General features: G+C 54.3%; 2 protein-coding genes, 2 long non-coding RNA genes, 1 other non-coding gene and 2 pseudogenes across 25 annotated transcripts, besides 17 other annotated features; 3 read left to right on the forward strand and 4 right to left on the reverse strand.

Moving 5' to 3' along the window:
- ADAMTSL4-AS2 (ADAMTSL4 antisense RNA 2) lies at window positions 459-9,619 on the reverse strand. Of its 2 annotated transcripts, NR_187269.1 has the most exons (6): window positions 9,588-9,619; window positions 8,503-8,579; window positions 8,043-8,112; window positions 7,849-7,947; window positions 6,430-6,627; window positions 459-645 (listed from the first exon to the last, which is right to left on the reverse strand). It is a non-coding gene; the product is annotated as an ADAMTSL4 antisense RNA 2 (long non-coding RNA). The 2 variants fall into 2 exon arrangements; NR_187270.1 differs by lacking the exons at window positions 459-645; window positions 9,588-9,619 and adding an exon at window positions 4,634-4,820 and having other exon boundaries at window positions 6,430-6,538; window positions 8,503-8,598.
- Window positions 488-782: a silencer, noted in NCBI's record as "tiled region #6123; HepG2 Repressive non-DNase unmatched - State 1:Tss, and K562 Repressive DNase unmatched - State 1:Tss". NCBI's record gives its function as "represses a minimal TATA promoter and a strong SV40 promoter by Sharpr-MPRA in HepG2 and K562 cells {active_cell/tissue: HepG2 | K562}" and the evidence as "EXISTENCE:reporter gene assay evidence [ECO:0000049][PMID:27701403]".
- Window positions 488-863: a biological region, named in NCBI's record as "Sharpr-MPRA regulatory region 6123".
- Window positions 714-863: a silencer, noted in NCBI's record as "silent region_1301". NCBI's record gives its function as "represses an Ori minimal core promoter by ATAC-STARR-seq in GM12878 lymphoblastoid cells {active_cell/tissue: GM12878}" and the evidence as "EXISTENCE:reporter gene assay evidence [ECO:0000049][PMID:35858748]".
- Window positions 1,034-1,173: a silencer, noted in NCBI's record as "silent region_1302". NCBI's record gives its function as "represses an Ori minimal core promoter by ATAC-STARR-seq in GM12878 lymphoblastoid cells {active_cell/tissue: GM12878}" and the evidence as "EXISTENCE:reporter gene assay evidence [ECO:0000049][PMID:35858748]".
- On the forward strand, window positions 1,303-12,832 carry ADAMTSL4 (ADAMTS like 4). Of its 20 annotated transcripts, XM_047422824.1 has the most exons (21): window positions 1,303-1,394; window positions 1,717-1,790; window positions 2,037-2,171; window positions 2,510-4,203; window positions 4,438-4,495; window positions 4,793-5,148; window positions 5,321-6,017; window positions 6,260-6,362; window positions 6,461-6,529; window positions 7,324-7,460; window positions 8,057-8,261; window positions 8,516-8,688; window positions 8,834-8,945; window positions 9,045-9,230; window positions 9,389-9,518; window positions 9,840-10,044; window positions 10,368-10,544; window positions 10,857-11,060; window positions 11,182-11,361; window positions 11,656-11,800; window positions 11,955-12,832. In XM_047422824.1, exons 4-21 carry the CDS (start codon window positions 4,184-4,186, stop codon window positions 12,089-12,091), a joined length of 3,294 nt encoding a protein of 1,097 aa, XP_047278780.1. In that variant the 5' UTR covers window positions 1,303-1,394; window positions 1,717-1,790; window positions 2,037-2,171; window positions 2,510-4,183; the 3' UTR covers window positions 12,092-12,832. The 20 variants fall into 20 exon arrangements, with proteins under 20 accessions (XP_047278780.1, XP_047278776.1, XP_016856995.1 ...); XM_047422820.1 differs by having other exon boundaries at window positions 1,717-2,171; XM_017001506.3 differs by having other exon boundaries at window positions 1,717-2,171; window positions 4,100-4,203.
- Window positions 2,185-3,245, forward strand: LOC124904417 (uncharacterized). Its single transcript, XM_047438226.1, has one exon. It carries the CDS (start codon window positions 2,185-2,187, stop codon window positions 2,953-2,955), a length of 771 nt encoding a protein of 256 aa, XP_047294182.1. The 3' UTR covers window positions 2,956-3,245.
- Window positions 2,509-3,198: an enhancer, noted in NCBI's record as "H3K4me1 hESC enhancer chr1:150523090-150523779 (GRCh37/hg19 assembly coordinates)". NCBI's record gives its function as "activates a minimal SCP1, AML or CMV promoter by ChIP-STARR-seq in naive H9 embryonic stem cells {active_cell/tissue: H9 hESC(naive)}" and the evidence as "EXISTENCE:reporter gene assay evidence [ECO:0000049][PMID:30033119]".
- Window positions 3,688-4,557: an enhancer, noted in NCBI's record as "H3K4me1 hESC enhancer chr1:150524269-150525138 (GRCh37/hg19 assembly coordinates)". NCBI's record gives its function as "activates a minimal SCP1, AML or CMV promoter by ChIP-STARR-seq in primed H9 embryonic stem cells {active_cell/tissue: H9 hESC(primed)}" and the evidence as "EXISTENCE:reporter gene assay evidence [ECO:0000049][PMID:30033119]".
- MIR4257 (microRNA 4257) lies at window positions 3,824-3,909 on the forward strand. Its single transcript, NR_036211.1, has one exon. It is a non-coding gene; the product is annotated as a microRNA 4257 (primary transcript).
- Window positions 11,733-11,902: an enhancer, noted in NCBI's record as "active region_1691". NCBI's record gives its function as "activates an Ori minimal core promoter by ATAC-STARR-seq in GM12878 lymphoblastoid cells {active_cell/tissue: GM12878}" and the evidence as "EXISTENCE:reporter gene assay evidence [ECO:0000049][PMID:35858748]".
- Window positions 12,702-12,891: an enhancer, noted in NCBI's record as "active region_1692". NCBI's record gives its function as "activates an Ori minimal core promoter by ATAC-STARR-seq in GM12878 lymphoblastoid cells {active_cell/tissue: GM12878}" and the evidence as "EXISTENCE:reporter gene assay evidence [ECO:0000049][PMID:35858748]".
- ADAMTSL4-AS1 (ADAMTSL4 antisense RNA 1) lies at window positions 12,790-26,447 on the reverse strand. The gene is made up of 4 exons (NR_104133.1): window positions 26,019-26,447; window positions 25,554-25,716; window positions 14,997-15,112; window positions 12,790-13,117 (listed from the first exon to the last, which is right to left on the reverse strand). It is a non-coding gene; the product is annotated as an ADAMTSL4 antisense RNA 1 (long non-coding RNA).
- Window positions 13,682-13,861: an enhancer, noted in NCBI's record as "active region_1693". NCBI's record gives its function as "activates an Ori minimal core promoter by ATAC-STARR-seq in GM12878 lymphoblastoid cells {active_cell/tissue: GM12878}" and the evidence as "EXISTENCE:reporter gene assay evidence [ECO:0000049][PMID:35858748]".
- Window positions 13,682-14,539: a biological region, named in NCBI's record as "NANOG-H3K27ac-H3K4me1 hESC enhancer GRCh37_chr1:150534269-150535120".
- Window positions 13,688-14,539: an enhancer, noted in NCBI's record as "NANOG-H3K27ac-H3K4me1 hESC enhancer chr1:150534269-150535120 (GRCh37/hg19 assembly coordinates)". NCBI's record gives its function as "activates a minimal SCP1, AML or CMV promoter by ChIP-STARR-seq in naive and primed H9 embryonic stem cells {active_cell/tissue: H9 hESC(naive and primed)}" and the evidence as "EXISTENCE:reporter gene assay evidence [ECO:0000049][PMID:30033119]".
- Window positions 14,540-15,393: an enhancer, noted in NCBI's record as "H3K27ac-H3K4me1 hESC enhancer chr1:150535121-150535974 (GRCh37/hg19 assembly coordinates)". NCBI's record gives its function as "activates a minimal SCP1, AML or CMV promoter by ChIP-STARR-seq in primed H9 embryonic stem cells {active_cell/tissue: H9 hESC(primed)}" and the evidence as "EXISTENCE:reporter gene assay evidence [ECO:0000049][PMID:30033119]".
- Window positions 14,742-15,021: an enhancer, noted in NCBI's record as "active region_1694". NCBI's record gives its function as "activates an Ori minimal core promoter by ATAC-STARR-seq in GM12878 lymphoblastoid cells {active_cell/tissue: GM12878}" and the evidence as "EXISTENCE:reporter gene assay evidence [ECO:0000049][PMID:35858748]".
- Window positions 15,292-15,341: an enhancer, noted in NCBI's record as "active region_1695". NCBI's record gives its function as "activates an Ori minimal core promoter by ATAC-STARR-seq in GM12878 lymphoblastoid cells {active_cell/tissue: GM12878}" and the evidence as "EXISTENCE:reporter gene assay evidence [ECO:0000049][PMID:35858748]".
- On the reverse strand, window positions 18,457-18,755 carry RN7SL473P (RNA, 7SL, cytoplasmic 473, pseudogene; annotated as a pseudogene).
- Window positions 18,993-19,703: an enhancer, noted in NCBI's record as "NANOG-H3K27ac-H3K4me1 hESC enhancer chr1:150539574-150540284 (GRCh37/hg19 assembly coordinates)". NCBI's record gives its function as "activates a minimal SCP1, AML or CMV promoter by ChIP-STARR-seq in primed H9 embryonic stem cells {active_cell/tissue: H9 hESC(primed)}" and the evidence as "EXISTENCE:reporter gene assay evidence [ECO:0000049][PMID:30033119]".
- Window positions 19,213-19,602: an enhancer, noted in NCBI's record as "active region_1696". NCBI's record gives its function as "activates an Ori minimal core promoter by ATAC-STARR-seq in GM12878 lymphoblastoid cells {active_cell/tissue: GM12878}" and the evidence as "EXISTENCE:reporter gene assay evidence [ECO:0000049][PMID:35858748]".
- Window positions 19,704-20,415: an enhancer, noted in NCBI's record as "H3K27ac-H3K4me1 hESC enhancer chr1:150540285-150540996 (GRCh37/hg19 assembly coordinates)". NCBI's record gives its function as "activates a minimal SCP1, AML or CMV promoter by ChIP-STARR-seq in primed H9 embryonic stem cells {active_cell/tissue: H9 hESC(primed)}" and the evidence as "EXISTENCE:reporter gene assay evidence [ECO:0000049][PMID:30033119]".
- RN7SL600P (RNA, 7SL, cytoplasmic 600, pseudogene) lies at window positions 20,866-21,164 on the reverse strand (annotated as a pseudogene).

Below are 26,449 nucleotides of genomic sequence, written 5' to 3' on the forward strand. Positions count from 1 at the left end.
AATAACATTACATAGCTGGGTGCGGTGGCTCACGCCTGTAATCCCAGCACTTTGGGAGGCCGAGGCGGACGGATCACGAGGTCAGGAGATCGAGACCATTCTGGCTAACACGATGAAACCCCGTCTCTACTAAAAATACAAAAAATTAGCCGGGCGTGGTGGCAGACGCCTGTAGTCCCAGCTACTCAGGAGGCTAGGGCAGGAGAATGGCGTGAACCTGGGAGGCGGAGCTTGCAGTGAGCCAAGATAGCACCACTGCACTCCAGCCTGGACGACAGAGTGAGACTCCGTCTCAAAAAAAATAAATAAATAATAATATAATAATAATAAACATAACGCAGAGTAAAAAGCAAAAGCCTTTTTCAGTCCTCCCCCAACCCTGCATCCCTCCCCAGATGTCACCAATACTACTGAGTTTGGGGTGCATTCTTCCATGTATAAATGCATAAAGAGACATATCCAAGCCCATCATATATATTAGATTAGTCCCATTTTGCAGATGAGCAAACTGCACCACACAGGGGTGGAAGTATTCGTCGAAGACCACATAGCTGGCAAGAGCTGGAGCTGAGGTTCAAATCCAGATCAGTCTGACTCAGAAGTCAGCACGCTGTCCTTTCGCTGAGTCCCGAGTGTAAAACCTTACTGAGGAAAAAAACCGAAGCTCATAGAAGTCCCAGCAATCTGAACCACCACTGCCCAACACGGGAGAGGCAGGAGTGACTGAGTTTGCAGGGGAGGCTGCGTGGAGGGGAGAGCCTGGACCCACGCGGATCGGGGGCCGCGGGTACCTCCGTCCAGGGCGCTTCCCTCCCGGACCAGCGGCTCTCCCAGGCCGCCTCGCTCCAGGCGCCCCTGGAGGCTGCCCCGCCTGTGCCGCGCCGCGCCGCGCCGTGTTCGCACCGCTCACCCGAGCGGCTCGGAGGCCCGGGTTGCTTAAGTCCCTAGTCTCAGCCGGGCACGAGGACAGCGCCCGGGAGCGACTGCAGCCTCTGACCCCGGCTGGGCCAGCCCGGGCTGCTTAAGTCCCTAGTCTCGGCCGGGCACGAGGACAGCGCCCGGGAGCGACTGCAGCCTCCGACCCCGGCTGGGCCAGCCCGGGCTTCAGCTCACGCAGCCGTCGGGGGGCGCCCGGCGCGCAGCCCGGGGTGGGTGGTCCTGGCGAGTGGGGCTGCGAGGCAGACCGGCCCCACCCCGGGGCCGCCGAGGGGCGCGGGCTGGGGCGCGTGGCGGGCGGGGCTGGGCGGGGGCGGGCGCGAGGGCGGAGTTGCGGCCGAGGCGGCCGTGACCGGAGCGCGGCTCAGGGGCCCCAGTGGCCGCCGCGGAGCGAGGTTGCCTGGAGAGAGCGCCTGGGCGCAGAAGGGTTAACGGGCCACCGGGGGCTCGCAGAGCAGGTAGAGACCTCCCCGGGACCCCGGCCCCGGCCGCCCCTCTCCCGGGTCCCGTTAGACCGCCCGCCCCGCGCGCCCGCGTCGTCCCCTCTCCCTGCGCTGTGCGGTCGCGACCCCGCCACGACCCCGGACCCAGCTCCGGTGGCCTCGGACAATCTTCCAGCCCCTGGGGTCGAATTCCTGGGGAGGGAGTCTGATCCCGTGGAACTCTGGCCCCATCACCCGGGCGGGGAGTGAACCAAAATTCCTCCTAAGTCACATAGTAAAGTTGGAAAACAGACCCATGACCTCCCCGCGCGGCCGGTGCCTCCTGCCCTCTCTCTAGGAGGGTGCTCTCGGACGGTGTGTCCCCCACTGCACTCCTGAACTTGGAGGACAGGGTCGCCGCGAGGGACGCAGGTGGGTGCCCTTGATCCAGCTCAGCCCGATGGCAGAAGAGGTTGACAAAAAAGAAAGACACCTGTTGGGGTGGCCTGCCAGACCCAGGAGTGGAGGGCTCTGAGGGCCCGGGAATTCGGACTCAGGACAGGGATTCTCCATGGCTAGGCCCAGAAACACAGGGTCCAACCACTCTCCAGCAGGGAGACCTGGGGGTGAAGGGGTGAGCCCTGCGCAGGTCTCTGTTCCTTGGTCTTCACTGGGCAGTGTGGAGAGGTGTGGCCAGGAGGAGCCCGCGTTTGTCCAGACCAGGGTCTACTCTGGCACCAGAGTGACCACCTCTGACCTCTCCTTTCCTCGTCCTGGGCCGGGAACGACACCAAATGAGGGACATGGAAAGGGGTGAGAAGCATAAATGTGCGTGTGTTTCTGCAGAGGAGGGGGCATGGGCCCCTGCCGGGCTGCGCAGGGGAGGGTGGGGTGGGACTTTTCCAGAGAGGGAGCCAGGCCTGGCCCGGGCCCCGGGAGCTCACGTCACCCCCACCCCTCACTTCTCCAGGGAACTGCCAAAGCCAAACCCAGCTCGGGATGGGATTATGTGTACTGGGTAGACCCGTGGAGAGGGGCTGCGAGAAGAGATCTCGGTGGCAGAGAGAAGCAGAGGCAGAGAGGGCATGAAGAGGGGTCGGCATCAGAGAAGGGGCAGGCAGTGACTATCACCCCATTTCTTCTTCCCTCAGCTGGAGTAACAAGAGTCAGGCAGAGCCTGAAGACTTGGGTGGAACATGGGCCCTTCTCTGGAGATCCTGGCCTCCCCCGTTCAGTCAGGGTGGAGTTGCTGACCTTAGTGGCCGGCCCAGCCAGGGGAAGGAGTGGCCATCGGCAACCCCCACCCCAACCCCAATCCCTGAGGCGCCCGCTCTGGCTCAGCCACTCTGACCCCTCCCTCAAATTCCGAACCCTAGGTCTCAGGGAGGGCAGTGGGGCTGAGTGTCTGCCCCCAGGCACATTCCTACCCTTCTCTTGGTCATTTTCTGCCCCAGAGCTGGCCCACCTCAGCAATGCGAGGGCTCCCTGGATTCCTCTCCCGGGTGCCTTTCAGATCCAACAGAAACAGATTTTTTTTTTCCTGGAAAGCAGAACTAAGAGTGGGATGAGGAGCAGGGGTGGGAAGGACTCAAAGTGAGAAGAAGGGGGCAAAGAGAGTCAGGCTTGGTGGCTGGGGTGGCTTCCAAGCCTCACTTCTCCAGTGTTCAAAGCTGAACTTCAGATGGACTTCCCGGCTCTTCAGAATGAGAGGCCTGTGGCTGGGGCATGAGGCAGCCCCGGCTGCACCTCTCCTTCCCGCTTCCCCAGCTGGTAGAGACGCACAGGAAACAAGCCCTCACTGAACCAACTCCAGATGCTGGCACCCAGAGTGGGTGTTACATTGCCGGCTTCTTCTCTAGAGATTAAACCGTCAACCCATTTAGCTTATCCCTTGGCCAAAAAGTGTATGAGATGTGCCTGGATGTTCCCTAAAGAGCTTATCTAAGAAGGGAAGAGAAAGCCGGGAGGCAAGTAGGACAGAGAGATGACTGGGGAAGGTCTTGTGTCTGGAAGACCCAAGGAAGGGGCTTCTGGTGGGTCCTCAGAGAGAGTGTCTGGCGCATCCTCAGTGGAGCCTTCCTCCTCTACTTTCTAGGCACCTCTGGGAGGGCAGGAGTGGGAGCAGATGACAACCATTTTAGAAGGAGCCCTCTGGCTGGGTGCGGTGGCTCACACCTGTCATCCCAGCACTTTGGGAGGCCAAGGCAGGAGAAGCGCTTGAGGCCTGGAGTTCAAGACCAGCCTGTGCAATTTAGCTGGATCCCATCTCCACCAAAAAATACCAAAATTAGCTGGGTGTGGTGGTGCACGCATGTAGTCCCACCTACTCAGGAGGCTGAGGAAGGAGAGCCTGTGAGTTTGAGGCTGCAATGAGCTTTGGTGGCACCACTGCCCTCCAGCCTGGATGACAGAGTGAGATCTCCATCTCAAAAAAAAAAAAAAAGCCTTTTGTGTGTGCCTGAGCCGGCTTAGAAACAGTCCCTAGGTAGGATTTGGGGAGGAGCTAAGAAGCCCCTACAGGGCCCAGAGGTGGGGACTGAGCCTTAGTTGGAGGGCTGAGGTCAGCCCCTGACCATGTAGCCTCTACAGATGGACAAGGCAGTGATCCTCCCTGCTCCCACCCTGAGGATCCTAAAGGGATGGACCAGTTTCACCCCCTCCTCCATATTCTCTGAGCTGTCCTCCCAGCCCCAAGCTCTCTGGACACTGGAGAGGTAACCACCAGGCTTCTGTCCCTGCAGAGAGCACCCTCCACGCCCAGATGCCTGCGTAGTTTTTGTGACCAGTCCGCTCCTGCCTCCCCCTGGGGCAGTAGAGGGGGAGCGATGGAGAACTGGACTGGCAGGTGAGAGAAGGGGCCACGGGTTGGGGGGGAGGAAAAGGGGAGGTGCTGGGATGGCTCTGTGTCTGGAAGTGAGGGAAAGGGGACCACTGGGAGGGGCAGGGGAAGTGATGAGTAACTTCTGCTTTCTGAGAAGTTGGTAGTCAGGATATGGGAGCCGGCTGGGGGCGGAGGGCAGTGTTGCAACACCCCCTCTGGCTCCAGTCTGACGTCCCTCCCCTGGCCTTTGGTTTGCAGGCCCTGGCTGTATCTGCTGCTGCTTCTGTCCCTCCCTCAGCTCTGCTTGGATCAGGAGGTGAGTTCTGGACAAGTGAGCAGCTGCAGCCTGCCTGCCACCCTTTCATCTCCCCCTAGGCTCCCACCCCATCTCTCCAGGCCACGCCTCCATTCCCCACAGCCCACCCACCTCCCCTGCCAACTCCCCAGTTCCTTGCCTCATAACACCAAGAGGCCGAGGTGTAGTTCTCCCTCTGCTGCTGAATGTGACCTTGGACTGGTAGCGACTCCGTGAGCCTCAGTGTTGGTCTACATGGACACTCTGGACAGTTCCCTCTAATCCTTCCAATTCTGTCTGACCTTTTTCTCTATATAGGTGTTGTCCGGACACTCTCTTCAGACACCTACAGAGGAGGGCCAGGGCCCCGAAGGTGTCTGGGGACCTTGGGTCCAGTGGGCCTCTTGCTCCCAGCCCTGCGGGGTGGGGGTGCAGCGCAGGAGCCGGACATGTCAGCTCCCTACAGTGCAGCTCCACCCGAGTCTGCCCCTCCCTCCCCGGCCCCCAAGACATCCAGAAGCCCTCCTCCCCCGGGGCCAGGGTCCCAGACCCCAGACTTCTCCAGAAACCCTCCCCTTGTACAGGACACAGTCTCGGGGAAGGGGTGGCCCACTTCGAGGTCCCGCTTCCCACCTAGGGAGAGAGGAGACCCAGGAGATTCGAGCGGCCAGGAGGTGAGAGGCCTGGGTGGAAGAGGTGGGCCTTGGGCAAGGTGGGGGCTTAGCATGAAGGAAAGGGGAGCACGGGTGGCTTCAGAGGGCTTGTCTTTGGTGCCAGGAAGTAAACTGGGGAAACAGGGTCAGAGGTGGTCAGAGCTGTGCCCCCACATCTGAAACACCTTCTCAGGTCCCGGCTTCGAGACCCCATCAAGCCAGGAATGTTCGGTTATGGGAGAGTGCCCTTTGCATTGCCACTGCACCGGAACCGCAGGCACCCTCGGAGCCCACCCAGATCTGAGCTGTCCCTGATCTCTTCTAGAGGGGAAGAGGCTATTCCGTCCCCTACTCCAAGAGCAGAGCCATTCTCCGCAAACGGCAGCCCCCAAACTGAGCTCCCTCCCACAGAACTGTCTGTCCACACCCCATCCCCCCAAGCAGAACCTCTAAGCCCTGAAACTGCTCAGACAGAGGTGGCCCCCAGAACCAGGCCTGCCCCCCTACGGCATCACCCCAGAGCCCAGGCCTCTGGCACAGAGCCCCCCTCACCCACGCACTCCTTAGGAGAAGGTGGCTTCTTCCGTGCATCCCCTCAGCCACGAAGGCCAAGTTCCCAGGGTTGGGCCAGTCCCCAGGTAGCAGGGAGACGCCCTGATCCTTTTCCTTCGGTCCCTCGGGGCCGAGGCCAGCAGGGCCAAGGGCCTTGGGGAACGGGGGGGACTCCTCACGGGCCCCGCCTGGAGCCTGACCCTCAGCACCCGGGCGCCTGGCTGCCCCTGCTGAGCAACGGCCCCCATGCCAGCTCCCTCTGGAGCCTCTTTGCTCCCAGTAGCCCTATTCCAAGATGTTCTGGGGAGAGTGAACAGCTAAGAGCCTGCAGCCAAGCGGTGAGTCTCCTCGGGCCTCCCCTCCCAACCCCGACCTCCAGTGTGGCTTCCCTGCCCTGAAGCTGGGTCTTCAGCTTCCGCTTGGCACCTGAGGGAGAAGGGCCTTGGCATCTGACCACCTCAGGGCAGGGGTCTTGGAGCTCTTCCGCTGACCTGAGCCTCCCACCTGCTCCCCAGGTTCAGCCCTGCCCCTACCCTCATTTTGCTCCCCAGCTCTGACTCCTTTGTACCCCTCACCGCAGCCCTGCCCCCCTGAGCAGCCAGACCCCCGGGCCCTGCAGTGCGCAGCCTTTAACTCCCAGGAATTCATGGGCCAGCTGTATCAGTGGGAGCCCTTCACTGAAGGTGAGGTTTCTTGCTCACCCCTGGGCAGTGGTGGCTTGGAATTGGGGATGAAGGGGAGAGGAGATACCTGCTTACTCCCAGCCCTGAATGACTTCCAGCCCCTCTGCTTCCCCTGCGCCATGCCTTCTTTCTTCTCCCTGGGGCTGGGTCAGGAGACAGCACAGGTGGTGAGTGGTCTGCAGAAGGGTCGGGGTGGGAGGAGGAGGTGTGGGAGACACGCTTTGTCCGGACTCCCCTGGGAAGGCCATCACTGGGGGTCAGGTGGCTGTGACACAAGAGGGCCATGGTGGGAGAGATCCTGTCCAGCCGTGACAGCCAGGTGGGGGTGTGCCACGCATCCTGGGCACTGTCGTATCGGTTGCTCCCAGGTTACCATCCGCTTCATTTTAGGCCTGTGTTAACTTGACACCGGGATAAGCACTCAAGAGCTCTGAACACACAGAATCATGGGCATCAGGGATTGCTCCTCTCTCAGTTCAGAGTCCCCTTGATGGTCTCGGTGACCTCAACTGACCTGACCACCTTTTTTTTTTTTTTTCTGAGACAGAGTCTCACTCTGTCACCCAGGCTGGAGTACAGTGGCACGATCTCAGCTCACTGCAACCTCTGCTTCCTGGGTTCAAGCAATTCTCCTGCCTCAGCCTCCCGAGTAGCTGGGACTACAGGCATGTGCCACCACGCCTGGCTAATTTTTGTATTTGTAGTGGAGATGGGGTTTCACCACGTTGGCCAGGCTGGTCTTGAACTCCTGACCGAATGATGCACCCACCTCGGCCTCCCAGAGTGCTGGGATTACAGGCATGAGCCACTGCGCCCGGCCCTGACCACCTCAGCTTGTGCTGTTGTCACATTTCCTTCATCCACAGTGACCTGGGCAACCTCAAGGTGCCCCCTCTGGGGCCTCTCTCAGCTAACCTCCCACCAGGGAGCCCACTAACCACCCTTCTACCCTGTCCCTTAGTCCAGGGCTCCCAGCGCTGTGAACTGAACTGCCGGCCCCGTGGCTTCCGCTTCTATGTCCGTCACACTGAAAAGGTCCAGGATGGGACCCTGTGTCAGCCTGGAGCCCCTGACATCTGTGTGGCTGGACGCTGTCTGGTGAGGGAAGACAGTGTGTGTGTGCACACACACATGCATATGCACACAGACACATGCCCCCATATGCATACACATGTACACACATATGTATGAACACATGCACACATGCAAGCACATACACACACGCATATGCGCACAGACACATGCACACACGCACACACACACACGCACACACACGCATATGCACACACATGCACATGCATATGCAGACACATGCATGCACATGTGCACACGTGCATGAACACATGCACACACACGTATGCAGACACATGCACACACATGTAGACACACATGCATGAACACATGCACACATGCACACACACGTATTTGCACAGTCTCAATTCAACAACAAAACACCATACTGAGATCACTGAGGGAGAATTCTCACCTGCCAAGCTGCGCTGAGCAGAGCCTGAAGGATCTGATCGGGCACCTGTCCATGTCCCTGGGTCTGGCTGGGGATGGTGGGGCTGTTTTTGTGCTCTCACTTGTGGCACAAAAAGCAGGGTAGTGAGCTGAGGCTCCCGAGGGGACCGGGGTGGGGTTGAGGTGGTGTCTGGCGTTCTGTGGCCACTGCCTCACCTCACTCTCTCCAGAGCCCCGGCTGTGATGGGATCCTTGGCTCTGGCAGGCGTCCTGATGGCTGTGGAGTCTGTGGGGGTGATGATTCTACCTGTCGCCTTGTTTCGGGGAACCTCACTGACCGAGGGGGCCCCCTGGGCTATCAGAAGATCTTGTGGATTCCAGCGGGAGCCTTGCGGCTCCAGATTGCCCAGCTCCGGCCTAGCTCCAACTACCTGGGTGAGCACCCAGCTGCCTCCCCTTCCACTTCCGTCTCTGTTCGGCCCTCCATACCCCTACTCAGAGCAGTGAGCAAGCCAAACAGGGGGAAGTCCAGGGCCTAGCCCCTCCCCTCGTGGAAGGAGTGAGGAAGCTGAGAGGGCTTGGGGGGATCTTAGGTTCTGGTGGGAGCTTCTATAGGCTAAGGACACGGTGTGGGAGGAGGAAGGTATTATCACCCTGGAATTTCCCGATCTCTCACCTCTGACCCGCAGCACTTCGTGGCCCTGGGGGCCGGTCCATCATCAATGGGAACTGGGCTGTGGATCCCCCTGGGTCCTACAGGGCCGGCGGGACCGTCTTTCGATATAACCGTCCTCCCAGGGAGGAGGGCAAAGGGGAGAGTCTGTCGGCTGAAGGCCCCACCACCCAGCCTGTGGATGTCTATGTGAGCCTGGGGCCAGGGGCAGCTGAATGCTGGGGAGGGAGGCTGTTCCCTCTGGGCAGAGCTGTGGTTGTCAAGATGGGAGAGAGAGCTGGTGGCATCCTCTTCTGGCCACCCCCACATATTCATTATCTTCTCTTCTCCCCAGATGATCTTTCAGGAGGAAAACCCAGGCGTTTTTTATCAGTATGTCATCTCTTCACCTCCTCCAATCCTTGAGAACCCCACCCCAGAGCCCCCTGTCCCCCAGCTTCAGCCGGGTAAGACTCTGACCCCTGCACTTGGAAGGAGGAGGGAGAGGCTGCAGGGCTGGCTCGGGGCAGTGGGGTGGCATCTGATTCGCCTGCTCCCCTGCACAGAGATTCTGAGGGTGGAGCCCCCACTTGCTCCGGCACCCCGCCCAGCCCGGACCCCAGGCACCCTCCAGCGTCAGGTGCGGATCCCCCAGATGCCCGCCCCGCCCCATCCCAGGACACCCCTGGGGTCTCCAGCTGCGTACTGGAAACGAGTGGGACACTCTGCATGCTCAGCGTCCTGCGGGAAAGGTGAGACATCACAGTGCGTTCCCCGCATCTCGGTCCAAACCCCCCAACTGACACTCCCGCATCCTGGATTGTGGGGCCACGCCCGACCCTGCGTCTGGGACACCACTGAGCTTGGGCTCTAGCCTCCTGCCTCCCTGGCTGCCTTCTCACCCACTCAGGTGTCTGGCGCCCCATTTTCCTCTGCATCTCCCGTGAGTCGGGAGAGGAACTGGATGAACGCAGCTGTGCCGCGGGTGCCAGGCCCCCAGCCTCCCCTGAACCCTGCCACGGCACCCCATGCCCCCCATAGTGAGTATGGGGGAGCCCACGGGGAGGGTTAGGGTACTGGAAACACAGCAGTTGCCCCCAGAATCTTACCTGAACTCTGCACTCAACGCAACATCTCCTGGCTGCAGAGAGACAACATTAGATTAGAAAGGCAGACATTCGGTAGGCAGCAAGAAAGCCATGGCAGGCTGAGCCCCCCAGGAACCCAGACTCCAAACGCCAAACGTGCCCACTCTCCTCTGAGGCCCCCACGTCCAGTGTGTCTTCCATCTCTGCTGCCACGGCAGCCCCACACATCTCATCTATGTCTCCGCCTCTTCCCTGCCCTGCTGGTGCCTGCAGCTGGGAGGCTGGCGAGTGGACATCCTGCAGCCGCTCCTGTGGCCCCGGCACCCAGCACCGCCAGCTGCAGTGCCGGCAGGAATTTGGGGGGGGTGGCTCCTCGGTGCCCCCGGAGCGCTGTGGACATCTCCCCCGGCCCAACATCACCCAGTCTTGCCAGCTGCGCCTCTGTGGCCATTGGGAAGTTGGCTCTCCTTGGAGCCAGGTGAGTTTGCCCAGGCAAGGAGGTGCTGGGGAGGGGAATGGGCACAGGTGAACAACAGCAGTGGTTTTTCAACTTCTTTTTCATCAGCAGAAACTATTTACAAACAGGGTTTCATATGGACCCCCAATATAGAAGTCAGATAAGGGACTGAACCAGGGACTGGGGGCCCAGGGCCCTAGGGCTCAGCCTCCTCCTCAGCCCACGAAGCCATGTGACTGCTGGGCTGGGGATCGAAGGCAGAGCCTGGTTCTGAAGCCTAGAGCTGGAAGCTGGCTGAGAAGGTCTGGGAAGCCCAGCTCCCTGGATTCCCCTCGCCCCCTCAGTGCTCCGTGCGGTGCGGCCGGGGCCAGAGAAGCCGGCAGGTTCGCTGTGTTGGGAACAATGGTGATGAAGTGAGCGAGCAGGAGTGTGCGTCAGGCCCCCCGCAGCCCCCCAGCAGAGAGGCCTGTGACATGGGGCCCTGTACTACTGCCTGGTTCCACAGCGACTGGAGCTCCAAGGTGAGCCCGGAACCCCCAGCCATATCCTGCATCCTGGGTAACCACGCCCAGGACACCTCAGCCTTTCCAGCATAGCTCAATAAACTTGTATTGATCAAGCGCCTGCTATATGCCTGACCCTGGGAACTCAGAGATAAGTGAGAACAACTTCCATGAGGGGCCCGGCTAGGATTCCTCGTCCGGGCCTGGTACCCGGGGACATTCCCAACCACCCAGGATTCGGACCCAGGATGCGTCCCTCCCTGCCCCCCTACTGTCCCTTGTGCCAGTCACCAGCAGGCCCCTCACACAGGCCGCTCTCCTCCTCCGCAGTGCTCAGCCGAGTGTGGGACGGGAATCCAGCGGCGCTCTGTGGTCTGCCTTGGGAGTGGGGCAGCCCTCGGGCCAGGCCAGGGGGAAGCAGGAGCAGGAACTGGGCAGAGCTGTCCAACAGGAAGCCGGCCCCCTGACATGCGCGCCTGCAGCCTGGGGCCCTGTGAGAGAACTTGGCGCTGGTACACAGGGCCCTGGGGTGAGGTAAGCTGAGCGCCTGCTGAGAGCAGGAAGGGGGTGCCAGTCCCAGTGGGATTCCTTGTGGGCACTTGGGGTGCTCTCTGTCCTCCCCTCCCCTCATCACCCTGCCCTCCCCCTACACTAGTGCTCCTCCGAATGTGGCTCTGGCACACAGCGTAGAGACATCATCTGTGTATCCAAACTGGGGACGGAGTTCAACGTGACTTCTCCGAGCAACTGTTCTCACCTCCCCAGGCCCCCTGCCCTGCAGCCCTGTCAAGGGCAGGCCTGCCAGGACCGATGGTTTTCCACGCCCTGGAGCCCAGTGAGTGTCTGGCTGCGCTGTCCTGCCCTGCTCAGCCTGGGCCCCTAGGGGAGGGGAGCTCCTCTCGCTGTACCCCCTCCAGGTCTCTCTGTGCCCCAGAATAAGCCCAGCCAAGCGTTACCACTGTCCTACTTCTTATAGACTTGGAGGAAAGATGGGCCCTCTCCATTTGGGATTTCACAATGTCCTAGGAGGGTCCCCACCACCACCTTTTGGGGAGAGAGGTGGCAGCCAGGGGTTAAGGAGAATCCCGGGCCTGGCAAAGGTCTGATATGATGGCTGGGGTCGCCCCAGTGTTCTCGCTCCTGCCAAGGGGGAACGCAGACACGGGAGGTCCAGTGCCTGAGCACCAACCAGACCCTCAGCACCCGATGCCCTCCTCAACTGCGGCCCTCCAGGAAGCGCCCCTGTAACAGCCAACCCTGCAGCCAGCGCCCTGGTAAAGAGCCCCCTCTCCCCAATCCCCAATACAGTGGATTAGCTGAAGTATGGGAGGAGATGAGAAAGGACCAGTGGGAATGGGCAGCACACCCATTCCCAGACGGGTGGGTCCTGGTGACTCTCTTGTGCCCACTGGCCTCCTCTGTCCCCAGATGATCAATGCAAGGACAGCTCTCCACATTGCCCCCTGGTGGTACAGGCCCGGCTCTGCGTCTACCCCTACTACACAGCCACCTGTTGCCGCTCTTGCGCACATGTCCTGGAGCGGTCTCCCCAGGATCCCTCCTGAAAGGGGTCCGGGGCACCTTCACGGTTTTCTGTGCCACCATCGGTCACCCATTGATCGGCCCACTCTGAACCCCCTGGCTCTCCAGCCTGTCCCAGTCTCAGCAGGGATGTCCTCCAGGTGACAGAGGGTGGCAAGGTGACTGACACAAAGTGACTTTCAGGGCTGTGGTCAGGCCCATGTGGTGGTGTGATGGGTGTGTGCACATATGCCTCAGGTGTGCTTTTGGGACTGCATGGATATGTGTGTGCTCAAACGTGTATCACTTTTCAAAAAGAGGTTACACAGACTGAGAAGGACAAGACCTGTTTCCTTGAGACTTTCCTAGGTGGAAAGGAAAGCAAGTCTGCAGTTCCTTGCTAATCTGAGCTACTTAGAGTGTGGTCTCCCCACCAACTCCAGTTTTGTGCCCTAAGCCTCATTTCTCATGTTCAGACCTCACATCTTCTAAGCCGCCCTGTGTCTCTGACCCCTTCTCATTTGCCTAGTATCTCTGCCCCTGCCTCCCTAATTAGCTAGGGCTGGGGTCAGCCACTGCCAATCCTGCCTTACTCAGGAAGGCAGGAGGAAAGAGACTGCCTCTCCAGAGCAAGGCCCAGCTGGGCAGAGGGTGAAAAAGAGAAATGTGAGCATCCGCTCCCCCACCACCCCGCCCAGCCCCTAGCCCCACTCCCTGCCTCCTGAAATGGTTCCCACCCAGAACTAATTTATTTTTTATTAAAGATGGTCATGACAAATGAGAAATGAGCTCTTCCTTGTCGGCTATGGACCCCTCAGCAGTGTGAAGGCAGAAGGTAGGGTGGGCAGGGGAACAGCATTAGAGCCCAGGAGAGTTTGGGTCAGAGAATCCCCGCCAGCCCCAGGCCCTGCAGGCTGGTCATGGGCCACTAGAGGTCACCAGTTCTCCCATTTGAGGTGTGGGGCGCTGGGTTCCAGAGCTGAAGGAAGGGCTGCGCGGCCGCGGTGCGCTTTTTGGTGGGTCGAGTCTCTCTGGGAAGTCTCCGGGTATCTGCGCCTTTCCGCTGGGGCCTGAGCGAAGGGCAGTTGGCTTGTCGAAGCTCTTTTTTCCTGTTCCCTTTCTCTAGCCCTGCCTTCTGTCTCCCTTTCTGCCGTACGCATATCCCTACGCTCTGGGGCTTCTTCTGGGGTGGGGAAAGGGAAGGGATTCCTGCCCCGAGCCCTTCCCCTGGAGGAGGAGGAGCCCGGCCCGGCTCCAGGGCCCTGGGCGGGGCTGAGGGAGGAGCGGGGCAGCACTGGATGTCCTGCCAAAGCCACATTCCTCAGAGATGGCTCAGCCTGGCCTCCTTCCTCCTCCTACTCGCTTCTCTCAAGGTAGAGAACTTGCTAGAGGCGGCCTGAGAGGGGCAGGCCTTTGCCATCACATCCTCTCCCAGACCCCTGCCATTCGGAGACTGAGGCCGAGTCTCTCCTGGAAGCCGGGCTGCCCAGGAGGGGCGGTGCCGCAGGAGCGCCCCCGCTCGCGACTCCACAAGCCCAGCTGAGCACGGCCGGGAATACGGGGCCTGCGGAAACAGTGAACTCAGTGGCTGCTGTTTTCTGAGCACCTGAACCCTGTGGGGGACGACAGAGTTGCCCGAGGCGGCAGGATGTCCCCACACTCGCGGTCCCCCGCACATCTTCCTGTTGCTTTGGGACTCGGGCTTTCTCTGGGTTGAAAGTGGCTGAGAAGGAAGAATTTGGACATCTTAAGAGGAGAGCGAGTGGGGAAGGAGGCAAAAGGGAATGGAGAAGGAAGATAAAACTGACGTCAGCCCAGGGCAGGGAGCGAGGAAAGGGGGCCACAAGGAAAGCCCAGTTCCAACGTCTCTGCTGAGCCTAAAGAGGCCTCAGCAGGGAATCACAGATGTGGGGGGCCAGGGAAACGGGATCCGAGCCCGCCCAGTAGGTATAGAAGGCCGAAGGCAGAGTCCTGAGACCCAGGGAGGGGTGGGGTGGAGGCTGGGGCCCTCCCAGCGATTCCTGGAAGCCCAGAGCTGGGCGGTGCCGGCTCAGCTGACTTCCCCGAAGCTCCCCTCCCTCTGCTCAGGGCTGTTGCTGGGCAGGTTTGGCGTTTGCCCTGAGCCTGAGAACCAATCGCAGGTGGAGGTGCGGTCGCAGCCCCTCGCAGGGCTCCCCGGCTTCAGCACCCCCTTTCTCTTTCTGCCCGCCCATGAGCTCCCTCTCGGCCTCCAGCCTCTGACCTCTCAGGAGGTGGGCTCTCCTCTGGGGGTCTGCTCCCTTTCCCCTCTTATTTTAGAGCTAGGACTCAGTGCAGCCCCTAAGGATTCCTTCCTCTGGTCACTGAGGTCATTATGGGGTCAATGCGGAAGTTCTCAGGAAAGGGAACCCGACCCCAAGCAATCCCTTTTCTTGGCCCCGTAGAGGGGAGTAGTGTGGCCAGACACCTGTTCGCTGACCTCTGAAACCCTCTGGGGGGACTTGGGAGAGCAGAAGCTGCAGCCTGAGGGCAGAGGAATGTGGGGAGGGCCCCTGGGTTTGGTGCACTAGTGGGAATTTAGGGAAGGACTCAGAGGAACTGGACCCCTGAGAATTGAGATGAGGGTGGGGTGGTGATAGGAACAAACTTGATATGCACAAGAGAGATCAAGCATGCAAAAGGCCTGCAAATTGTTGAGGATGCCTCCTTTCTGAGGGTGTGCTGGGGGAGGGGGTTGTGGTTTGAGTATCAGTGACACTAGGGGTGATCTGTGCTCTCACAAGTTCAGCTGGGTCAGGATTCCTCTCCCCTCCCCCTCCCAGCTTCCCCAGGGTAAATACCCACCCAATTTAAGTTGCAGCTTTTGGACTAAATTTAGCTCCTGGACTTCCCCAACCCCCAGGCCTCCCTGTAAGCAGGTGCTCACAGCTGCAGCATGGGTCTGGTGGAGAGTTTGAACCTTCTCCTCACCTCCACTCATCCAGATTCCACCTTTCTGGTAACTAGGAGTGAAGCAGAGCACAGGAATCCAGTGGCTGGCCCAGGGCATAAGTGTCTCAGCCTTAAGCCACCTTCTCCCAGGAAACCTGTAAGAGAAGAGCTCTGGTGGGAGACTCTAGATGGACATGGAGGGTGGTGGGGTGTAGAGAGAACAAGATGCCAGGAGAGCCTCCCTCCAGATTCTCTCCAGCCAGACCCTCTCTCATTCCTTGCTCTCCCCTTGTCCCCAGGTTTACAAATAGAGACTTCATGTTAGCATCTTCCCCACCAGAGTAAACTGACCCAGGAAGCCCTCTCCTCTCTTTGAACCATGGAGAATCATGCTACCGTAGAAATTATGGTTTGGGGAGGTGTGTGTTTCAAGTAGAGGTGGTTTGCCACAGGTAGGTGATGAAGAGCTGTCAGCTTTAAAGGGCAGAGACACCGTCTAAAGGAAGTAGAAAGCCTCAGGAAAGTACCTAAGTCTAAGTCTGTCAACAAGAGACAGAAAAAGTTTGGGTTAACCTCAAAGTAGCCAGCATAAACCCTGAATCTGACTTTTGGGCTTCCTGACCTAGGAGACTGGGAAAACTCAAGAGGGTGTTTCAGGGCTGAGTCTGAAGGAAGAAAGGATTTGAGGGAGGAATGTATAAGATTAGTCCAAAACAAGGTATGCACGAGATATGGCAGTCAGATGCCAGGGAGCCATCAGCTCTGCCAGCTGAAGGGGAGGTGCAGAGTTGGCTGGAAGCTGGCCAGAGCAGAGCATTTCTCCTGTGAGCACTGGAGAGCTGTGCTGAGAGGCCTGGGAAGAGCCCTGTGCTGGGGGAGGAAGGCTAGGTTGGGTCGGCATGTTTGTGTGCTGTACTCTTCTGAGCCTTACCTGAATCTCTTGAGATAGCTCCACTGAACTTTGAGTGAAGAGGAAAAGAAACTGGGGGAAAGAGGGTGGGATTATAAAAAAAGGAGCAGACTGTACCCCTGGGATCCCTAGGCTAAAAGGCCCTCCCCTTGATGAGACAGGCAGAGATCATCTCCCCTGGAACAAGGTCACCCTTCCTCTCTCCCATCGCTACATTCCTCTCCTCCTTACTGTTGACTATTGGTTGCCTGCCTCTTTCATCACAAAATGAGACTCCTCTTTAGCTTTAGTAGAGGGTTGGGCAAACTTTTTCTCTACAGGAGTAGATGATAAATATGTTAGGCTTTGCAGGACCTATCATCTCTGTTGCAGCTTCTCTACTGTAGCAGCACAAAGCAGCCATAGACAATAAGTAAACAAATGGGCGTAGCTGTGTTCCAATCAGACTTGTGACACTAAAGTTTTAAATTTTTCTTTTTTTTTTTTTGAGACAGGATCTTGCTTTGTTGCCCAGGGTAGAGTGCGGGGGTGGGGCGCAATCATAGCTCACTGCAGTTTTGACCTCCAGGGCTCTAGCCATCCTCCTGCCTCAGCCTCCCAAGTAGCTGGGACCACAGGTGCAGGTCACCACACCCAGCTAATTAAAAAATTTTTTTTTGTAGAGACAAGGTCTCACTGTGTTGCCCAGGCTGGTCCTGAACTACTAGGCTCAAGCAGTTCTCCCACCTCAGCCTCCCAAAGTGCTGGAATTACAGGCATGAGCCACTGTGCCCGGCCCATTTTTTTCAACCATTTAAAAATACCAAAATGATTCTTAGCTTGTGGGCCATACAAAAACAGGCAGCAGGGCAAATTTGGCAGGGAGGTGGTTTCTGACCCTGGGGATTTTTCCTAACTGGTGACTTCTGCTCTGCCTAGCCATAGAAAGTCCTGTTTGTGTCTCTTCCAGGCCTCAAAATACAGCTGTAGAACCTTTTAATTCAACATACTCTACTGATGCCTGGTTCTTAATTGCTTCTCCTAGGGAATTTAAGGACTTGAAAATGGTTAATAGAGTAAACCCTTAAGGGACAGTCCTGAAACTCCTTCTATTTGTGTAGTGCTTTAAGGTAAAAGCACAAAGCACGTGTATCAATAGTCTCTCTTTAAATCTTTGCGGTAATAAGATAGCTGACAGTATCGTTAAGTCCTGTTTATAGGGGAGAAAATTAAGGCTTCAGATCTAGTTTCTTCACTTTTTTTTTTTTTTTTAGATGGAGTTTTGCTCTTGTTGCCCAGGCTGGGGTGCAATGGTGTGATCTCGGCTCACTGCAACCTCCGCCTCCCGGGTTCAAGCAATTCTACTCACTCAGCCTCCCAAGTAGCTGGGACTACAGGCATGTGTCACCACGCCTGGCTAATGTTGTATTTTTAATAGAGACAGGGTTTCACCATGTTGGTCAGGGTGGTCTCGAACTCCTGACCTCAAGTGATCCACTCGCCTCGGCCTCCCGAAGTGTTGGCATTACAGGCACCACGCCTGGCCAAAAACACTTTTAAAAATTTATTTTTGGTTAGACACGGTGGCTCACGCCTGTAATCCCAGCACTTTAAGAGAGGCCAAGGCAGGGAGATCACCTAAGTCCAGGAGTTGAAGACCATCCTGGCCAACACAGTGAGACCCTGTTTCCATTTATGTAAAAATAAAAGAATTTTTAAAAATTATATGTATATTTTTAAGAGACAGGGTCTCACTATGTTGCCTAGGCTAGACTTGAACTCCTAAGCTCAAGCAATCCTCCCGCCTCAGCTTCTTGAATAGCTGGGCCTATGGGGTGCCTGGCTTCCTTCTTTTCTCTTTTTTTTTTTTTTTTTTTTGAGACAGGGTCTTGCTGTGTCATCAGGCTGAAATGCAGTGGCACAATCACAGCTCACTGCAGCCTCAACTTCCTAGGCTCAAGTGATCCTCCTGCCTCAGTCTCCCTAGTAGCTACGACTACTGGCCATGAGCCTTCTATTACTCAGTTTCATTCACACGGGGCATCTTGTTATCAAAATAATTTTGGCCTCAATGATCCAAACCTTGAATAGTTTTTTGTTTTGTTTTGTTTTGTTTTGTTTTGAGACAGAGTCTCGCTTGGTCACCCAGGCTGGAGTGCAGTGGTGCAATTTCGGATCACTGCAACCTCCTGGCTTCAAGTGATTCTCCTGCCTCAGCCTCCTGAGTAGCTGGGACTACAGGCACGCACCATCATGCCTGGCTAATTTTTGTATTTTTAATAGAGAAGGGGTTTCGCCATGTTGGCCAGGCTGGTCTTGAGCTCCTGGCCTCAAGTGATCTGCCTGCCTTGGCCTCCCAAAGTGCTGGGATTACAGGCATGAGCCACTGTGCCCAGCCCAAACCTTGAATAGTTTTAAGTGTTCTTGCTGTTTTTTTTCAAATGTCTTTCAGGACTTTTCAGCTAAAATTCTGTTTAAACTTTTTCAGACTTTCAAGAAATTAGAAATGCTTTCAAATTCATGATAGTTTTGTGTCATTTATACCCAATCCAGACTTATTTAGACCAAACAGCCTTTTTTTCCTACCAGTGTTTTCCAATTTTTATCTTAAGAGGCAGGGTCTTGCTATGTTGCCCATGCTGGAGGGCGGTGGCTATTCACAGGTGCAATTCTACTACTGATGAGCACAGGAGTTTTGACCAGCTCTATTTCCAACGTAGGCAGGTTCACCCCTCCTTAGGCAACCTGGTGGTCCCCCACTCCCAAGAAGTCACCATATTGATGCGGAACTTAGCATGAACACCAGATCAACATAGCGCACTATAGCCCTGAACTCCAGGGCTCAAGTGATTCTTCTGCCTTAGCCTCCAGAATATCTGGGACTACAAGCGCGTGCAACTGCGCCTGGCCAATTTTCCTGGGTCCAGGAAATGACAGTATTCCTGGTCTTTGTTTAAGGTACACTGTCTTGCAAACATAGGCTTATGTATAATGGTAAGCCACAAGCATTTACTAAGTTTTTTTTTGAGACATAGTCTCACTGGCCCAGGCTGGAGTGCAGTGGCACGATCTAGGATCACTGCAACCTCTGCATCCCAGGTTCAAGCAATTCTCATGCCTCAGCCTCCTAAGTAGCTGGGACCACAGGTGCACACCACCACCCCCATTTTTAGTAGAGAGAGTTTTGCCATGTTGGTCAGGCTGGTCTCAAACTCCTGACCTCAGGTGATCCACCCGCCTTGGCCTCTCAAAGTGCTGGGATTACAGGCATGAGCCACCGCGACTGGTCAAATTTTTCTTTCATACAGTAGCACTGATACATCTTTCATGGTTCATGATGGGGAAAGGAAGATACAGCGACTTCCATCCTGTTTCATACCTGACCCCAACTACCCAGCTTTGAAGTGGGGCAAGGGGCAAGGAAGCAGGTAGCCCAGCACTCCTCCCCGCCATCACCAGGCTCCTCTGCAGAGCTGTTGTTCCTTAAAGCTGACAACAAGCCACCTCATTTCAAAACACACACACACAACCTCATTTTGACACAAAGTTGTTTCCCTCTTTCTGTTTCTCTGCTTTGCCTCATGAGGGATTTCTGAGAAATGAAAAAAAGTCACCTCCCACAGCCGCAGCCTGCAGTTTTGTTTTTTGGTTTTGTTTTTACAGATGAAGAAGAGGGGGGTGGAGGAAAGGAGTATACCGCTTAAGCATCTAGTATTAATCCAAAACTCTGCAAAGTAAGAGAAATGCTCTTCCCATAGCCCTTCACCTGAGGTGTGTGCCCCACTTTCCTTAGATTTGGGCTCTCATGCAAAAGGAAATAAACAAGGTATCCTCCCCTCAGGAAAGTTCAGTAACAAAGCAGTGAAACCGAACAGCTGCTCCCTTGCAGCAGGCCAGCTGTCTCCCCTCCCCCCATTTCCACCAAGGGCCGGAGACGGTGGGAACTGCTCCAGGCAACCTAAAGGATGGCGTTGTGAGCTGAGAAAGGCAGGCCTGATAGATCTGGGCATAGGAGCTTCAGGAATAAAATGCATGTGAATGCGGTGTTTCCCAGGGAGAATTAACCGCATTCTCGCCTTCAAATCTGAATACCTGAGAGTCATAACCAGCCCAGTAGGGTAGACTATGAAATGTATAGCAAAATTTTCAAAACCAGCTCCTCCTACCAGACAAGAAAATTAACATTTTTTAGGGCACAGAACTGAAAGCATTTTTACTGAAATCTAATCCAGGATGAAACCTAACAGTTAAACATTCTTTTCCTTCTCTGCTTCTTTGGCTCTCTATCCCAGCACACCTTGTCCCAGGCTAACTTGAGTAAACATACACATGTGACCACATGAGGGCGGGAAGAACACCAAGTGGGGGTGGTGAAATTCTGAATGGAATGCAGCCCCAGCTAGTTAGGGGGCCCCGGGCTGAGACCTCTGGCACTGGCAGTAGACTTATACAGGCAAAGAAGCCAAAACAATGAGCTCATGGGCAAGAATGCAGCCTGTGGGGAAGTCTGGGCAGCTAGAGCAAACTGGTTTTTTGAATCAGGATGGGAATAGCAATAGTTGAGTCTCCCACGGGAACAGGATCAGGGAGAGTGGAAGCCACCATTCAGTATCTTAGGGTTCCAGTTAAATAACTTTTGGAAGCTCTTATTAAAATTCTGTTCTGCAGACAGCATAGTGCTCTTAGGCAAAACCTTGGTTCCTTTCCCTGACTATGTAAAACCTAGAGGGTGAAGGACCAGTGAGGCTCCAGTGACCTACCTTAGGTGATGCTCTTAAAAGAGCAACTTTATTCAAACCAGGCCTGCCAATGCCAACTCCTTCAGTCTAGATCCAAAGATGGCTATGATCCTGAGATTGTGTGTTTAGGGTCACCACTTTAACATGATACAGGAAGCAATTGAGTCTTTTCTACTTCCTAAACACAGTCCATCCAGTTGTGTGTCATTTATACCCAGTCCAGACTTATTTAGACCAAAGAGCCTTTTTTTCCTATCAGTGTTTTCCAAATTTTATCTTAAGAGGCAGGGTCTTGTTATGTTGCCCATGCTGGAGAGCAGTGGCTATTCACAGGTGCAATTCTACTACTGAGGAGCACAGGAGTTTTAACCAGCTCTATTTCCAACCTAGGCAGGTTCACCCCTACTTGGGCAACCTGATGGTCCCCCACTCCCAGGAAGTCACCATATTGATGCAGAACTTAGCGTGAACACCAGATCAACGTAGCACACTATAGCCCTGAACTCCGGGGCTCAAGTGATTCTTCTGCCTTAGCCTCCAGAATATCTGGGACTATAGGTACGTACAACTGTGCCTGGCCAAATTTTTTTTTTTTTTTTTTTTGAGATGGAGTCTCGCTCTGTCACCCAGGCTGGAGTGCAGTGGCGTGATCATGACTCACTGCAGCCTCTGCCTCCCGGGTTCAAGTGATTCTGGTGCCTCAGCCTCCCGAGTAGCTGGGACTACAGGAATAAGCCACCACGCCCAGCTAATTTTTTTGTATTTTTAGTAGAGATGGGGTTTCGCCATGTTGGCCAGGCTATCCTCGAACTCCTGACCTCAGGTGATCTGCTTGCCTCGGCCTCCCAAAGTGCTGGGATTACAGGCATGAGCCGCCACGCCTGGCTCTAATATTTTTATATAAGGCCTGAGATGGGAAAAACTGAAGTCATACAGTATTCACTGACCAAGAGCGGCGAGCAGAGAAAGAAGGCAGGGAAGGAAGATGGAATAAGAAAATTACCTACACAGTCCATCCCTGCTTCTCCCATCTCCATACACCCAGAGGGTCTTTCCCAATTCCATGCTTTGGTACGTGTTTCTTACTCATCTTTTTTTTTGAGTCTCGTTCTGTTGCCCAGGCTGGAGTGCAGTGGCATGATCTCGGATCACTGCAGCCTCCACCTCCCGGGCTCAAGTGATTCTCCGGCCTCAGCCCCCCAAGAAGCTAGGATTACAGGTGTGCACCATCACGCTCATCAAATTTTTGTGTTTTTAGTAGAGATGGGGTTTTACCATGTTGGCCACACTGGTGACCTCGGGTGATCTACCCACCTCAGCCTCTCCAAGTGCTGGGATTACAGGTATGAGCCACCGTGCCCAGCCTCGTTACTCATGTTTTAAGGTCCAACCTCACATTTCTTATGAAGCCTTCTTTACCACCCTCTACGTCTAGAAGTTGTCACCCTGCTTTTTCCCAACCCTACAATGCTTTGTACAGTGCCTTCTAATTATTTCTGTCCATGTCTATGACTCTTACTAGATTGTAAACTTTGTGTGTGTGTGTGTTTCTTTTTTTGTTAAGATAGGGTCTCACTCTGTTGCCTGGGCTGGAGTGCAGTGGCACAATTTCAGCTCACTGCAACCTCGACTTCGTAAGCTCAAGCGTTTCTCCCACCTCAGCCTCCCCAGTGGCTGGGACCACAGGCACGTGCTACTATGCCAAGCTAATTTTTTTTATGTTTTATAGAGATGGAGTTTCACCATATTGCCTGGGCTGGTCTCAAACTCCTGGGTTTAAGCAATCTGCCTGCCTTAGCCTCCCAAAGTGCTGGGATTACAGGCATGAGCCACTGCACCCAGCTAGATCACAAACTTTAACATCTAGCCACATTTGCATTCTCATTATGGGATTCGTTATGCATAAATTCTTTAGCATGCATCTCCTAAAAACAAGGTATAATACTCAAGAAATTTAACATCGATACAGTAGTAACATACAATCCATAAATTTCCGCAAATGTCCCCATGTCCTTTATAGCTTTTTGACATGTGTAGTTAGTTGTCATGTTTCTTTTGAACTATTCCCCAATCTTTTTTTGAGTTTCTTTTTTTTTTCTTTTTTTTTGAGACAGAGTCTTGCTCTGTCTCCCAGGCTGGAGTGCAGGGGCCCAATCTCAGCTCACTGCAACCTCGGCCTCCCGGGTTTAAGCAATTCTTCTGCCTCAGCCTCCCAAGTAGCTGGGACTACAGGAGTCCACCACCACACCTGGCTAATTTTTATATTTTTACTAGAGACGGAGCTTCACCATATTGGCCAGGCGGGCCTTGAACTCCTGACATTGTGATCCGCCCGCCTTGGCCTCCCAAAGTGCTGGGATTACAGGCGTGAGCCACCGCACCCGGCCTCTTTTTTTGAGTTTCTTAAGGGGAAGAATGATCTCTTTATAATTCCATTATCTAACAGTTCATGATACATAATAAGCAGTCTACTGTCATGTAATGGAAAAATGAAGACACTCTCAACATCTGGCTGCCTAGAGCTCCTGCTAAATAGACAAGCCTGGGCAATATAGCAAGACCCCATCTCTATGAACAAAACAAAACAAAACACAAGGCATGGTGAGGTACCTGTAGTACCAGCTACTTTGGAGGTTGAGGTGGGAGTATTGCTTGAGCACAGGAGTTCAAGGTTGCAGTGAACCGTGATAGTCCCACTGCACTGCAGCCTGGGCAATAGAGTGAGACCCCACCTCTTAAAAAAAAAAAAATCCTAACTTACCTCAATGTTGAAGATTTCTCATTTCCCAATGGAAAATAACTATTATTCTATGCAGGTCAAGAAGGGAACTGCAAATTAGAAACCAAGTATAGTGTGGGAACAAAAGCTTGCTACGTATATCCTTTTTCTACTTCCCAAGAATTATTAGTAAAGGACACCAAATTTTCGGAGGTGTTTTTTTTTGAGATGGAGTCTCGCTCTGTCGCCAGGCTGGAGTGCAGTGGTGTGATTTTGGCTCACTGCAATCTGGGACTACAGGCGCGTGACCCCATACCCAGCTAATTTTTGTATTTTTAGTAGAGACGGGGTTTCACCATGTTGGCCAAGCTGGTCTCAAATTCCTGACTTCGGGTGATCTGCCCGCCTTGGGCTCCCAAAGTGCTGGGATTACAGGCATAAGCCACCGCCCCTGGCCTTTTTTTTTTTTTTTTTGAGAGGAAGTCTCGCTCTGTCACCCAGACTGGAGTGCAGTGGCATGATCTTGGCTCACTGCAACCTCCACCTCCTGGGTTCAAGCAATTCTCCTGCCTCAGCCTCCTGAATAGCTGGGACTACTAGTGCCCGCCACCAGTAGTGGCGTTTAACCGTGTTGGCCAGGCTGGTCTCAAACTTCTGTCCTCAAGTGATCAGCCCGCCTTGGCCTCCCAAAGTGCTGGGATTACAGGCGTGAGCCACCTCACTAGAGAGGTATTTATTTTGTTTGAGACAGAGTCTCACACTGTCACCTGGGCTTAAGTGCAGTGGCACGATCTCGGCTCACTGCAACCTCCACCTCCGGGGTTCCTCCCAGGTTCACGTGGTTCTCCTGCCTCAGCCTCCCAAGTAGCTGGGATTACAGGCGCCCGCCACCATGCCCAGTTAATTTTTTTTATTTTTAGTAGAGATGGGGTTTCACTGTATTGGCCAGACTGGCCTCAAACTCCTGACCTCATGATCCCTCCACCTTGGCCTCCCAAAGTGCTGGGATTACAGGTGTGAGTCACCGTGCCTTTTTTTTTTTTTTTTTTTTGAGACAGCGTCTGGCTCTGTCGCCCAGGCCCCGGAGTGCAATGGCATGATCTCAGCTCACTGCAACCTCCGCCTCCCGGGTTCGAGCGATTCTCCTGCCTCAGCCTCCCAAAGTGCTGGGATTACAGGCCTGAGCCACAGCGCCCGACCCGGAGAGCTGTTTCTTAATCTGCCTGGAGGAAAATCCCCAGCCCCCAACTTTCCACATACTTCACATAGATAACACTGTAACAACTTTGAAACTAAGAGGGAGAGAATTAAGTTTTCAAATTTGAAATTGAGAAGCCTTTGAAGAGTGGCAGCGTTCTAGAAAGTTCCATGATTGAACAAGTGAAGCAAAAAACTAGGATAGACTCAACTGACCATCTGAACTCCAGGAATTAATAGCCAGTGCTTTGGGCATCTGGCTGGAGCCATGGTACGCACCAGTTGTACAAGTTATTTCATTTTAATTTTGTAAAAAAAAAAAAAAAAATCCTTCGGCTGTCACAACTGTTTTAAATAAAAATTTTGTGAAAAAACAGTATGAAGACGTTGCTCTAGATACAGAACAGGAACTGAGAAAGTCTGGTTGTGTCAAATAAAGCAAAGTGTTGATAATTCTGACTACTGATTAAGGTTACCCAGTTACTATTAAATCCAAGCTTTTAAGGTGCTGAGCAAAGGAACACTGTACCAGAAACGGCTTCACATCATAGCACGTCAATGGGAGCAATAGCACTAACTTAACTCAGGCCAAGACTTGGGCTTGGGTCCTCTGTGGCTGCTACTCTCCTACCACACCTTTGCTTGGGAGTGCACTTACACAGCTTTCTTTGTAATGATACAAAAAGTTGCTGCCTTTTGGTAGTTAGGCTCCAGAAAGGGGCTTCCAAACCAAAATGCACTTTTAAATAGAAATGCAACTGACTGCAGGGAGGCACAGAATCCTGATTGCCTGATTAGCATATGGTGCTCAGGGCTTAAAACCAAGTATGCAAACCTCACATTTGCACATTTCCATGGTGATTCAGCTCACTTTCAAGGTAGCTGAAAATAAAAGCAGGATAGGGGTTTTTGAAATTGACTGGCTTCTTTTTACCTCCTTTTGGAAAGCAGAAGGGGAAAAGCACTGCTGCCAAGAACTTCATCAAAACTCTTTAACTTTAGGTATTATTTAGGTGTTATGATAGAGTAACTGCTGTACAGTACCCTCTTACCTCAAGATCAAGGCTGGGCGCAGTGGCTCAGGTCTGTAATCGCAGCACTTCGGCTGAGGCGAGTGGATCACTGAGGTCAGGACTTCAAGACCAGCCTGACCAACACGGCAAAACCCCGTCTCTACCAAAAATAGAAAAATTAGCCGGGCATGGTGGCGGGCACCTGTAATCCCAGCTACTCGGGAGGCTGAGGTTGCAGTGAGCCGAGATTGCCCCACTGCACTCTAGCCTGGGCAAAAGAGTGAGACTGTGCCTCAAAACAAAACAAAACAAAACATACCAACACCTGGTGATTCAAAAAAATCAAGACAGAGGCTGGGTGCGATGGCTCACGCCTGTAATCCTGGCACTCTGGGAGGCAGAGGTGGGCAGATCACCTGAGGTCGGGAGTTCAAGACCAGCCTGACCAACACGGAGAAACCCCATCTCTACTAAAAATACAAAATTATCTGGGTGTGGTGGCGCATGCCTGTATTCCCAGCTACTCAGGAGGCTGAGGCAGGAGAATCATTTGAACCTGGGAGGCGGAGGTTGCGGTGAGCGGAGATCGTGCCATTGCACTCCAGCCTGGACAACAAGAGCAAAACTCCATCTCAAAAAAAAAATAATAAATAAATAAATCAAGACAGAAATTTTGATTTTAAAGAGGTTTTTGATTTTACTTGGAGGTTTAAGAACTCCTCTAAGTACAGCAGTAATATATTTAATTAAAAACCCAACACCTCTAATTAGAATTGAAGAAAGGAACTGTCCTTTGCTCTAAGGCAAATCAACTTTGTGAGGCTTTTGCTTTGAATTCACCTGTACATATTTGCTCAGCTGACTTCTCTAAAAGGTTTGCCTAAGAGAGGGAAGGAAAAAGAGGCGTCGATGAGAAAAGACCCATATCACACCCT

This window comes from Homo sapiens, chromosome 1 (genome assembly GCF_000001405.40).
Source record: "Homo sapiens chromosome 1, GRCh38.p14 Primary Assembly".
Taxonomy (NCBI): Eukaryota; Metazoa; Chordata; class Mammalia; order Primates; family Hominidae; genus Homo; species Homo sapiens.